The following is a 13,554-nucleotide window of genomic DNA, read 5'->3' on the forward strand; positions in this document are numbered from 1 at the left end:
TTGCCGATAAAAAAATGATGAAGATGAAGAGTCTTCGCAGGGAAGTAGGGGGGGATGCTGTGGAGTGAAGGATGAGAAGAGGCTCATATCATTTCCTTCCAGGTTATGTTTCATTTCTAGTTAATAAGATACTTAGCATCTTGTGGTTTCACTTTGTCTTAAGAAACTGTGGCCACTTATCCCTACCTATTTAAAACAGCCAATAAAAAGTGAGACAACAAATCATGCAGTGTACCTGACATACCAGTAGAGGGCAGTGGTTGCATTCACACCATCTGCTCACCAACAGCCTTTCATTCCAATTCATAGTCGATTTGGCAAGTGTAAGATTTTAGACACTTTGCTATTTTTAAATCTCCATTTCAGCAAAGGCGAGTATGGTCAGGCTGAATAAAATTCGAGAATTTAAGCGTGGTCTCTCAGATAAAGTCTGGAATAGTGAAATACCTTGGGCTAGGAGTTAGGAGACCTGGCTTCTGTCTGAGCTCAGCAGATAATCTATAGTCTACCTCACTTTGTGACTGGGGCAAGTCATGTGCCCCAACCATGACTGCTTCAGCAATACAGCCAGCGCCTCGATACTTCAGATGGGAAGTCCTCGCTTCTGAGTTAGTCACAGATTTTCATAGTGGGAAGGAACTTTAGATAGCATCTGGTCCAAACTGTCCTTGTTTAACAAATAATAATGACATTAATAATTATGATAGCAGTTAACACATATAGCATTCACTATATGCCAGTCCCACATAATTTGTGTCTATCCTGAATATGTATGTTTTCTCACTTAATCCTTATAACAACCCCAAGAGAAAGGTACTAGTATTATCTCCATTTTACAGAGGAGGAAACTGAACCACAGTGAAGTGACTTCTTCAAGGTGTCACAGCTGGCAAGTAGCAGAGCTATGATTCAGACACAGACCTTTATATTCTAGGAGTAGAGAAACTACAGCTCGCAGATGTTACGTGGTGTATACTGGGTTGTATAACTTATATTAATGCCAGGACCACAACCCATATAAGCGGATTTCTTGTCTCATGCTTTGCCCAGTATATCAGCTGTTTCTCCTGCGCAAAGCTTTAGATATCAATTATAGTAACAAACCTAATTTGCACTTAAAACCTAGGTCGTTTATCTGGAATGTCTAATTCAGGTACTAATTGTACACCAAGGGCAAAATTTCCTAGCCAAGGATGAAGTCATATTTTTCACTAAAAGTAATAGGTTGTGCATACTACACTTGAAAGAGAGAATTGGACTTAGGATGTGTTGGTTTATAATTTATTTTCCTATTATACAATTGGTTTCACTTGTTTAAAATCTGATGACAAAGTTTAGCCTAAAATGAAGTCAAGAGTCTTAGTTAAAGAGATAGCAGGCTTTAAGCCCCAAAAGAAATACCAGGGAAATTTAAGTAGCTTTGGAGAAGCAGCAACAAGACTTGGGCCACTTTCATGATACTCTTAGCTCCCTGAAACACTTTGCATGTATAAATGGGATAAGAGAATTAGAGCCCAATTATATACTTTCCAGATAAATGCTAGTTTAGTTTTGGGTTTGGGAATTCTCCTAGTGATGATCTCATTTAATTTATCTTGGTAAATACCACAACACCTGTGAAAAATCCCTAATTTAAAAGCACATAGAGCAAGCATGAGGGGGCAGGGCTCCCAGACTGCACTGGAAAGTGAGACCATGGAAGAGGAAGCTGACTTGTCCGGGAGCCTCAGGGAATCGGCTCAGCCATTTCTGGCCCCACTTCGGTATGAGTGCATTTTTTAGCCAAAGTGCCATGTTCAAGGGCACGCTTTGCCTAAGGCCTATGGATTTATTTCAGGATTGAATATTTGACAAGCAAACAGGACAGAGTCACTAGTATTTATGGTAAGGTGGAGGCAAACCTAAAGTGAGTCAGGTCATTTTTCATGGTATCATGTCAGCTTTCAATCAAATCCTTATTCATATCTGAAAATTGTACTTTCATTACAGTTCTGCTTAAGGCTCAGCCAACCAAGATTTCATGACAAAAATGGAAGGTTTTTGTTCTAGTTCAAGAAAAAAAAAAAAAAATCAAACCTACCTCTGCTCAGCTTGGCTTCTAGTTCAGAGGTTTCTCTGTTAATCAAAAGAGCTGCAATACACCTTTTAATGCTGTTCAGTGGTTAAAGACCAGGCTTAAAATGTCCCTGCTCTTGAGGATTTAAATTTAGACCCATAAAGAGATGCTTGTGTAAAAACCGTAAAGAACATTCAATTTGTTCTATTTGGAGAAAGATTTTACTGGAAATATAAATTTTCACTTAAAAGATGTTTTATGGGGTGCAGAGGTAGAGAAACCGTCTAAAGAACACAGCCATTATTTCTGTGAACTGAGGATTTCTGTGCTCAAGTCTGAACCTGCTGTTTCTTTTCCGTCTGAAGTCTTCATTCTCTCCTTGTATTAACTTAGTCATCTCCACAGCAACTAATTGACATATCCCAAAGGATTATAACCTTGTGTGAGGAACCACCAGGAGGAGCAGATCAAATTTAAAAACTACAAAGGTTCTTATCAAAGTTTTTCTAATAATAGTGCTGTACTTAAAAATCGATTAAATATAGCAGCGGATGTTAACACAACTTCCTCGAAATGGAAAGTTGCCCATTGTCTGTGTTATCAACATTTCTAGGTCACATCTCCCAAGAAGCAGTAATGTTCCAGCAATAAGAAAAGGACAGTTTTTTGTCTTTTGCATGGTGAGCCTTATATGAATTACATCAATTTTGTCACCAATATCCATCATCAGAACATTTTGGTAAGTAAAGAAGCTGATTTCTGTTGAACATTTATACTATATATCAGAGTTGCAAAAATGAGATGCCTACAGGGGCTGTGCATATGATATAAATGGCGGGAGTCAGGTGGGCCCATTGAAAGGTGTAATCCCCTGGCTGTTGCCAGTTGGCTGTTGACATTCACAAATGTTGGCTCAGTGTAAATAGATCATTTTTTCCCCTCCCACAAGAAGCTAAAAAAGCTGAACTTTTGGGTATAATTATCCAAATTTAAATATTAGCAACTGATTCAAAAATTTTAAAACTCTGCCCTGGGCAAAAAAATATGTCTGTGGGCCAAGTTCAGTTTGTGGACTGCCATTTTTTTTTTTGTCACCTTAGGTATAAAGCAATCCTTGGAATATAACTAAAGTAAACCACTAATGAAGTTAATGTAGCCATTTCCTGAACTTACAGTTTTCTGCAGAATTCAAAGACTGCTTCCGTTGGTTTTGCCCCATTTCTAATGCTGAGAGGTCAATGCATGTATTGGATAAACCATGGGAAACAGCAGAGGGTCAAAAGCAAGGGGGCAGGGCAGAAAATTAAGTGGCCCAAATGGTAAAGGTGAATTGCATCATTTAGCAGAACTCATTAGAGGAAAGTCAGACATACCCCTTTTACTTCAAAGGGCATGAATAGAGCATCCCAGGAGAAGCATGCATGCCATTACCTAATTCTGCCATGGACACAGTTGGGGAAGTCTCGCCGTTGGTGAACGAACAGTAGGGAAAGAAGCCTGATGCTGGTGTGTAGTCACATATTGGTTCTGGTTTGATTCCATTGATATCAAGACCTGACTGGTCTGGGGAAGGCTGTATGTCCAGGTAGAAGCTGCTGACGGCGGAGTCTGCCTTACTCCCCTCAGGGGTGTGCCCGTCAATGTAGTTACTGAGGTCGTCGTGAAGTTCCGTCAGCCCGTTGGCCGAGATGTTGTAGGTGGGCGTCAGCGGCTCAGCCTCTCCAGGCTGCTGCTGGTGGTCGCGCTGCTGCTGCTGCATCCGGTGTTTCTGTACTTCTGCATACAAGCTGTCTCTCTGCTTTTTTGACATTCGGCCAAATTTTACAGCTGGAAGAAAAAAGCCAAACCATACTACATACAATGCGCTTTTCTTCAATATTCTCTCCTGCGAGCTTTGGGGTTTCCTTTGAAGTCTCACACAATCTCAATCCAAAACTGCATGACCACAAAATAAGGACATATTCAGAGGTGAAAACAGTTCCAACCCACACAGACTCGCTCCAGCTCCCCAACAGCAAACACACATCCCAGAGAAACTCATGTTTCAGAAAGAGGCCTGGTGCAGGTAGGAGGGGCCCAGAGAGATGCCACTTCTGTTTCCCTGCTGTCACATCCCCCGTTTCCACTGCGCCCCACTGATAACTTAATGGGCTTGTTCACTCTCCCCCCGTGCAGCTGGCTTAGGCTACCTCTTTCTCTCCCACGTTCAGACCAAGGCACAGGGAAGCAAAGACTCACAGGGTTCATCAAGGAATAAGCAGTCAAACCTCAGCGTTCATTCAGTTCACCGTCTTGTACGCTCCGACAGTTCTCCCTGATCAAATGGCCACTTCTGCAGCTTCATTGTGAGGTCTGAATGAACTGGATGAGGCCTCTGTAATTCTTTGAATTACATCAGAGTACCTGACCTAAGAAGCCCCCTCCTCCAGTCATGGGTCATGGGTCATGGCAGCCCCTGTGGAACCCTGAGACCCATCTTTATTTTTATTTATTTAGTTAGTTATTTTGAGACAGAGTCTTGCTCTCTGTCACCCAGGCTGAAGTGCAGTGATGTGAACATGGCTCACTGCAGCCTCAACCTCCTAAGGTTTGAGCGATCCTCCCGCCTTGGCCTCCTACGTAGCTGGGACCACGTGTGTACACCACCACACCCAGCTAATTTTTTCACTTTATGTAGAGATGGAGTTTCGCTATGTTGCCCTGGCTTGAGGTCTGGAACTCCAGGGCTCAAGCAATCCTCCAGCCTCATCCTCCCAAAGTGCTGGGATTACAAGTGTGAGCTACCACTCCCAGTAGGACCCATCTTTAAACACTTTCTGCTGTTCCCATTTAGCCTCAAGTAATCACAGCATCAGGATTTGGAAAGGACAAATATGGTATTATAATATAAGATCCTTATAATGTATGATCCTTGTTGGGCAGATTTCTGTTTGTAATGCTTCTCTTTGGGATGTGTCCCCATATTTAAAGTGGAGCAGTCACTATAATGAATAACTTTCCAATTCATTCAGAATATCAAATGAATTCTTGTGAAACACCAAGATAACTGAAAACAAAAACACACAAACAAAAAACCCTATGATTTCCTGGTCTGAATTCTTCCATGAACTCACTTATTTTTCAGCTAGACTCAGTCTTTGCTGGAGGGACTTAGTTCTCCTAATTGATTGTGGTTAAATTTATAGCTGATGGGGTGGATGCATTCACCCATTTGACTATGATCGTAGTTATAAGAGTCTAGGGCAGGAGGCAGGATAGATGGACACGAAGTTGGGAACCAAGGCCCTCACAGTGGCCAGGTGGTGAATTCTTTTCTTGCCAAAGAGGACGCGCTGTCCTTGTTCACAGAGGAAACAGGTGAGCTGGAATACTGGTCACTTTCCAGTTTCCACAACTCAGATAAGAAACTTGGGTGGGGCTGCTCAGGCAGCAACCAGGCTGATGTGGGATCTGAATTTCAGAACCATAATTTCTTAACCTCCAGAATTCTTTCTATGCCTACAACAACTTGTGCTATTTCTTATATGCAAAATTTTCAGAAGGCATACTGAAGGTGCTTAATTTTTTTGAAAAAAATTTTCTAGGACACTCAAGGGGCCTAATACCCACAGGTGAAACTTTCTGCTGTGACTCCGCAATTATGATTTAACTTTTGTATTAATATTAACGACAGTAATTATATCCTGTAAGTGAAATAAAGGGACCAGCTCTTGAGAAAATGCACACACAACTTGTGATTTAAACTTACAAATTGATGAGATATACCTAACTTTGTCAGTTTAGTACCATCGGAAGATGAAATCTGCAGAGTTGCATGTCACAGGAATTTCTGAGAATATGGTGGAAGTTCTGTGATTTGTATCTTCCAATGTCAAAAGCTTCACTTTTGTAGTGGTGCACAGAGTGCCTCTTAGAATACGCAGGAACAAAAGTGAACTCGTGCCTATGTAGATCTACAGGCGCTAAGAACATCAGATTATGGGGAAGGCAGACTGTTGGAAAGCCTGCTCCGCATTCTGAAGTATTTTTCCACAGGCTGAAATTCCACTGGAGGAGACATTTTCCTTCAAAGGGATCTCTTAAGAGAGCCAGCTGGTATATTTGGAAAAATCCTTAAAATGGACCCGCTGTGCTTTCTGCCCAGTTTCCACGTATAAGCATAACTGTCTTGAAATCTGGTGTTGATTATTCAGTGCACTTAAGATAGTTTTCCAGGAAGATCTTGAAATGTTTTGTACTTGAATGGTAGACGGTCTCTATTCCTTAAAGTAGCTTCATTTAATGAAAAGAACACTTGTCATTGAGCCATGCTTTGCACTATTTTCACACATTCTGTATGTACAAATATTTGGCTTTGGCATGTGATTCAAAATATCCAGTTAGCATAAAAGCGGCTTCATCCCAACCTCCAATAGACTTACTAGTGTAAAGCAAGTAACAGTTGTGGTTCACATTTCCTGCAGGGGAAAATGCCTAGAGGAGACATCTTTATTAAGGCCTTCAGATGACACTTACCGTCAGTCAATCGACCCACCTATAATGGCTGAAATATCAAAAATCTGAAGGTGTTCTGAGCACAAGACACTTCTCCTCCACACCACCCCCACCCATCAGCCAGCCAGCTGACTCTGAGGATGAGGAGGAGGAGGAAGCAGCTGCTGTGAGTTCCATGTAGCTGCCAGAGGAGCATGGGGGGCGGGGCGTAAGGTGGAATAATGAGGAGGGGGCAGGCGGGGCAGATATTGGCAGATCTGAGTCCAGGTTTCAGAAGGCACTTTCACAACCCCGTGCAACTGTACAACTCAAGCTGTGAGAGCTCACCATCTCGAGACATCCCTACGGCAAGGCATTTCTGTAATCGACAGTGTTGGCAGCGGTTTCTACTGGTTCGATCAATCAAACAGTTCTTCTGACGAGGACAGGAGTAGGTGGCATTGCTTTGCTGACTTCTCCTGAAAAAGCCCTGTGATATGGTTATAAAATATAAAACAGGTTAGTGTCAGAATGAGTGGTATGATACTAAAGGCAGGATGCTAAGCACTGAGTGGCATTAATATTTAATGGAGAATTAAACTTGTAGCAGAATCATCCAGGAGACCATTAATGAAATTAAAGTCACTTCTTTTTCCTTGAGTAAAATTGATCCCCAGAGCCTAATCCTCCATCCCTTATACCTGCAAAACTTTCTTTAACTTCAACAGACAGTTGCCCATGTAAAAAGGCACAGGACCAGGTCCTTGTTCTTGGCTTCTGATGATCAAAAGCAATGTGCCTGATGGAATGATACAAAAGGACTTACCTTTAGCCTTTATCTCTAAGAGATTGTTTGTAAAATAAATACAAAACACTTCCCTGGAATATCCAAGTTAAGGAAAATGCAGCCACACCACAACCTAGGGCACTGTGAACCTGGTGAACCATGGTAATCTTCACTAGCCCACTTCAACACACGGCCCTTTAGGCGTTTCTCACTCCCCAAGTCTGAATCTGCTATCGCAAGCATTAGATAACACTTGGAGGGATTATTTTGGCAGATCAGATTGGGAATATTCCCTCATCCCTGGCAGTTTAGAAATACCACATGTTCAGAACCATGGCCTTTAAAGATGGAACAAATCCAGTCCAATGCTCATCAAGTTCCTCTCGTGTCAAGTGCTGTTTGGGAAATGAGAGGGGATACAAAGATGTATAAGGAGCTACTGACCTCAATAACTTTATTTTTGTTTGTTTTTGCTAACTTCCTGAGCTGTATTCTTAGCTGATTTTCACTGTTTATTCTTAGAGTGTCAAGTTTTCCTTTTAGTGATGTTTTAACAGCAACCCAAAAGCTTTACTACGTAGTATTTTCATTCTCATTCAGTGAAAAACATGTTCTAACTTTCAATAGATTTCTTCTTCAATCCAGATGTGATTTAGAGGCATATTTCTTAATTTCCAAACACATGGGGGCTTTTTTTCGGGGGAGGGGGCAGGGTCTTGCTCTGTCACCCAGGCCAGACTCCTCGGCTCAAGCCATCCTCCTGCCTCAGCCTCCTGAGTAGCTGGGACTGTAGGTGCACACCACCATGCCTGGCTAATTATACATACATACATACATATATATATTTATATATATTGTATTTATATATATATTTATATATATATTTATATATATTTATATATTTATATTTATATATATTTATATATTTATATATATTTATATATATTTATATATATTTATATATATTTATATATTTATATATATTTATATATTTATATATATTTATATATATTTATATATATTTATTTATATATATTTATATATATTTATATATTATATTATATATATTATATTAAATATATTTATATATATTTATATATATATATTTATATATATATTTATATATATATTTATATATATATTTATATATATATTTATATATATATATTTATATATATATTTATATATATATATTTATATATATATATTTATATATTTTTTTTGGTCGAGATGGGGGTCTCGCTGTGTTGTCCAGGCCTGTCTTGAACTCCTGGCCTTAAGTGATTCTCCCACCTTGGAGTCCCAAAGTGTTGGGATTACAGGCATGATCCACCTTTTTATCTTTTTATTGCTCATTTATCTTTCAGTGGCTTTGCAAGCTAGGGATGTATGCAGAAAAAAAATAAGGTAAGTAGAGTCATTTCCATGAAGCAAAGCCATGAAGGGTACAAAAGAGAATTATTACCTTCAAAGCTTTAGTTGTGAAGATAGATGACCCCAATGAGGGCGACACTAGTGGGGAGAGGTAAAATCCTAAAGAATTAACAGAGTGGTAGGCAAACTGATAAGGGTGCTCTCCCACTGAACGATTTTTCTGGAGGTCAATTTGGCAGTTGTATCAAAAATTTTTAAAAAGCCTACCCACTGAGCTAGGCTTTTAAGGAATACACGTTAAAGAAATATTTAGAATGCTACAAAGATTTTCCTACAAGGGTGTTCTTCACAGTACTATCTATAATATAGAGAATGTAGAAAGATCCTAACTGTCCAACATTACTGAATTAAAAGAGTCATATTGTATACTCATACAATGGGATTCAACCACTACAAATGGTATTTCAGAAATATAATTATTGATATAAAAGGTGATAAAAATATACCATTGAATGTTTAAAAAAGGAACTAAAGAGCTAAACATAGTATAATCCAAGTTTTGTGGAAAAAAAGGACACCCATATATTTACTATAAAAGAAGATTTGGAAAATTATGCCCCAAATTGTTGGCAGTAGTTGGTGGGGCCAATCAGATTTTATTTTTCTTTTTGTTCATCTGTGCTTTTTTTTTTTTTCCCCCCTACAATAGGCAGATGGGAAGTTATGGTGGGCAGCTTGAGAAGAAGTGCACCTGCCTTCCTTTGTAATGGCTGGGGGCCTTTGTCAACCAAGTTGATGTATATGACCTCAGTTTCCAGTTCTTTGGAAAATCCAACCTGGGATGGGACAGGGCAGGACCCTGACTTCTCACTCCTCTTGCTTTCAGCCAAGGTGCTTGCTAACCTTGACATGGGCAAGGCTGGGGGCCTCATGTCTCAGACTGTCTCTCTGTTGTACTTTAACTCTACCCTTGATCAAGTCCCGCCTCTTCTGTAAAGCAATCTCTCTCTTCTGAAAAATATCTAAAGCTATGTTTTTTATTTTATTTTATTTTATTGTTTGTGTGTGTCTGTTTCCCCTGTGAAAAGGAAGTAAGAAGAAGTAAGGCTTTCTTTGGGGGCTTACTAGAGAGAATTCAAGAAAATATAAATGGTCACAGAGGCAGATAATCCTTAGAAAGAGATACCAAGAGGTCAGCTGTCTAGGTATTCATTTTCCCCTGAGACACATAATCTCTGTCCAAGCTGAAAGGTGTTTATCTCTTTCTTGAGACTCTCCCACCGTTCATACCCTTGTGTAAAGGCATCACTGTGGATGCTTAAAATCAGGAATGTATTTGTTTTTGCTTTAGCTGAAGTTGAGTTTTGTTTGCTTCACATTAAGCCTGCTACAGTTTCTTGTGTGATCACCGAATATGAGGAATGTCTGAATGATCTCTTCTTTTTTTCTTTAAGTGGAGCTAGTACTTGAGGGCTGCCATGCTATTTCCTAGATATCTCTTCTGACGACCAAATCCCAGCATCTGTCACCTTTCTTTCTAGGCTCTTTTCCACCTTGCATATTTCTTCTCAGAATCCTTTCCAATTTCTTCACTACTTCTTTTTTTCTTTTTTAAAACTGAGGCAGGGTTTCGCTATGTTGCCCAGGCTGGTCTCGAACTCCTGGGCTCAAGCGGTCCTCCCACCTCGGTCCCCCAAGTAGCTGGGATTCCAAGTGCGAGCCCATGTATCTGGCATTATTTCTTCATTTCTTTCAAAAGTCTGAAGTCCCTAACTAGACATAGCTCTTGAATAATGGTTGGGTCATTAATGAAAAGGATGCCACTTTTTAGTTTGCATACATACATTAAGTTAACTTCCACCCACCATTAATAAAGTCCAAGACTGTTAACATAGAAGCATATATTAATCATCAGTTAGCTCTGCTTTAAGGGCATGAGGATGATGATGACAGATTATCAGTCTTACTGAGTACTTGTAGTAACCATATCTTTTTATTCTGTATTTTGGATGCAGACATCTTCGGGCTTTGCAGACACTGGAGGGACTGCCCTTGCAGGGCTGGATAACTCCTACATACAGCAAACAACCTGCTGTCAGCCACCTCTCACACAAAACCAAGTGGGCTAGAGCCCACACCCAGCACACCTTCTTCATCAGGCCCTTACGCTTCTCGCCATGATTCCCCTGCCCTGGTCACCCTAGGGCTAGGTACAAGACAATTAGGGACAGCCCCTACCTCCTAGCGCCGTCTGTAATGATTCAGACTAGCTACTTATCCTAATCCTGCTCATCCTGCTGCACCTTCCTTCCTGTGGAAAACACCATGGAGGCTCTTGGCAGTGTTTCCCCACATCCCTCTCCCCTTCACTGACCCTGGCGCTTCCCCATGTGTCCCCTGTATGGTGTGGCATGGGCCCTGTCTCTAGGGATTTGTGAGTCCAGCACTCCCTCCTTAATCGTCGTTTTGCTTTCCTCGTTTCAGTTACTTGCGTCAACTGCAGTAAAAGAATATTAAGATATTTTGAGAGAGAGAAGGGAAGCAAAGAGAGACCACATTCACATAACTTTTATTACAGTATATTTTAATAATTGTTCTGTATTATTATTATTGTTGTTAATCTCTCATTGTGCCTAATTTATAAGTTCAACTTTATCACAGGTCTGGATGTATGGGAGAAAACAGTATCTAAAAGGTTCGCAGTTTCAGGCATCCCCATGAGGCTAAGGGGGGACTACTGTGTAACAAACTTCTTCCTTCATGACAGTCATTTCCAGATCTGTGTGTCTTATGGTACCTGATTAAAACAAATCCCAAATACCATTAAAACAGCACTGACTTCATACTAGGCACTCTATGCTTTATGTGGATTGTGTCATTCACTTGTGACAAGGGCAATATTGGGCAAATCCTATCATTCCCCTGGTTTTAAGGCTGAAAAAACAGAGGCTTAGAGAGGTGTAGTGACTTGCTCAGAGTCCTCGCTGTAGCATGGGGTAAAGCCAGGATATGACTTCACATAGTTTAACTCCAGAACTTACACTGTCATCTTGTTTTGTTTTTCTGCTTCTCTTGTGTGTCAAAAGAATTCCTCCTTAGTTGTTCTCATATGGGGCAACCATTAAATTAGGCAGTGTAAAAAACAAGTTATGCAGAATAAAGTAGCAAGAGCAATCTACTCTGAAATTAGTGTTTTCCCTCACTTTAGCACCTTTAGCTGACCCAGCTTCCTACCGCCCAGACATTTTACAAAAATCTCTCTCTGGAGTTGCCTCCTGATCTGGATTAGGAGTCACATAAGAAAATCAGTCTCATGAGTCCATCATTTTTCCTCATTTCTGACCAGAAGTATTCTGCCCCATTTGCTTCACCTTATTTCTAAATCACTCTAGCTCATTTAAACAAACAAACAAACAAACAAACAAACAATGAAACTTACTGCAAGGGCACAGAATAACTATCATTAAAGATGTCTGTGTAATTATGCCATAAGTTGCAAGGCAAACTCATGAAGCATTCCGTATGTTCTTTGAGCAGTGGCACTGTGGCTCGAACCAATGTCCAGCTTCCACACTATCTGCTTGGAAGAGGATTACCCTTATTTGGAAGTCTCAGTTTTGAGGATTTGGGGAAAGCAGGCACGCAAGCAGACACACCTTATTCTCTACAGCATCATTTATACCTCAACTAAGTCAGCTGAACAAATGCCTGCTGAAAAGTTCTGGGAGTGGCATAGCTAAGAACCAGAAAGGCGATCTTTCTTTTGGATTAAGTCAACAGAGTCATACCCACAAGGAGAACTATCAAATATCAGATGCGAGAGGTGAAGTGGGGTTATAAGGTGAGAGCTGAGAAGGGAGAAACAGGGTGAGTAAACCTCCATGACTCAGACGAATACTGAACTTTGCATTTCAGGAAGAATGAGGGTTTGGGTTGCTTCTTTTTCTTTTTAAAAACCTCTTCTTTTCAGTATTCCTTGGGGGGCGGGGTTCTCAGAGGATTAAGGGTTTGGAAAATTAAACAGATAAGATACTAAGAGTTAAATAACACATAAGAGGAAGAAGGATTAGAAAGAGGAAGAAGAAAAGTAGAAAGTGTGGTAGGTACCTTCCTACCTCAAGGTAGAAGTAGTGTGTTTCTAAGTACAGAGATAGATTTTGTCTGATTGGGGAGAAATCCTGCAAAAGGATTAGGAAGTGAGTGAGCTGAGAGATGAATTCCAGGGATTGGAGGTCATACAGAGAGCAGGGGAAGCACAAAACTAGGGCATGGAGTTTTGGGTGGAACTGAGGAGGCGTAAAAAAAAAGTGCTGAAGTTGTGAGCTGGGAAAGGTATCAAGTACATAATTTGGCAATTTTGTTATTTCTAAAAGATAAGCTAACAAATTACTTGGCTGTCATAAAAGTTCACTTTTTATGGATGTTAAAATACATGGAGATGTTCATTTACAAACATGGTGAGCTTGAGCCAGAGAGCCACCATGATACATTTCAGGTAGTATACGTTTAGTGTGACTGTGGCGCACTACCACCACCTAGTGGCAGCAGATTACCATGCAGCTATTGCAAATAGAAAATTAGAATAAAACAAACAGGCCTTTGGTGCTGAAAGACTTTGAGAGATTATCAGGTACAGCAGTTGACATATAGGTGATGCATCAGAAACACCCACAGAGCTTTTAAAAGATACACCTTAGATATATCAAACCAGAACTATATATCAAACCAGAAACTTTTGGCGATGTCGTCCAGGCATACATAGTAGTTTGAACAATGAGAAATTCCCATTTTTATAAGTCAAAAAAGAAAAAAATTGTCATTTTTTTTTTTTTGAGACGGAGTCTTGGTCCGTCACCAGGCTGGA

At 40.3% G+C, this 13,554-nt stretch overlaps 1 protein-coding gene and 1 long non-coding RNA gene across 15 annotated transcripts in view, besides 1 other annotated feature; one reads left to right on the forward strand and one right to left on the reverse strand.

Annotated features, from left to right (window-relative positions):
• Nucleotides 1-13,554, forward strand: part of RORA-AS1 (RORA antisense RNA 1) — a 151,462-nt gene that overhangs the window by 28,561 nt on the left and 109,347 nt on the right. For 3 of the 4 annotated variants that reach the window (NR_120342.1, NR_120341.1, NR_120340.1), the window contains one exon: nucleotides 2,670-2,795. This is a non-coding gene — a long non-coding RNA (RORA antisense RNA 1). Of the gene's footprint in view, nucleotides 1-2,669; nucleotides 2,796-12,227; nucleotides 12,532-13,554 lie in introns of all 4 variants that reach the window. The other variant, NR_120339.1, reaches the window with a different exon arrangement.
• Nucleotides 1-13,554, reverse strand: part of RORA (RAR related orphan receptor A) — a 741,019-nt gene that overhangs the window by 19,455 nt on the left and 708,010 nt on the right. For 10 of the 11 annotated variants that reach the window (NM_134261.3, XM_047432928.1, XM_011521875.3 and 7 more), the window contains 2 exons: nucleotides 6,878-7,019; nucleotides 3,488-3,883 (listed from right to left, as the gene is read on the reverse strand). In NM_134261.3, the coding sequence (NP_599023.1) occupies nucleotides 3,488-3,883; nucleotides 6,878-7,019 (538 nt within the window). Of the gene's footprint in view, nucleotides 1-3,487; nucleotides 3,884-4,294; nucleotides 4,363-6,877; nucleotides 7,020-13,554 lie in introns of those variants that run through there. The other variant, XM_011521879.4, reaches the window with a different exon arrangement.
• Nucleotides 435-544: an enhancer, noted in NCBI's record as "active region_9509". NCBI's record gives its function as "activates an Ori minimal core promoter by ATAC-STARR-seq in GM12878 lymphoblastoid cells {active_cell/tissue: GM12878}" and the evidence as "EXISTENCE:reporter gene assay evidence [ECO:0000049][PMID:35858748]".

Source organism: Homo sapiens, chromosome 15, assembly GCF_000001405.40.
Source record: "Homo sapiens chromosome 15, GRCh38.p14 Primary Assembly".
NCBI classification, from domain to species: Eukaryota; Metazoa; Chordata; class Mammalia; order Primates; family Hominidae; genus Homo; species Homo sapiens.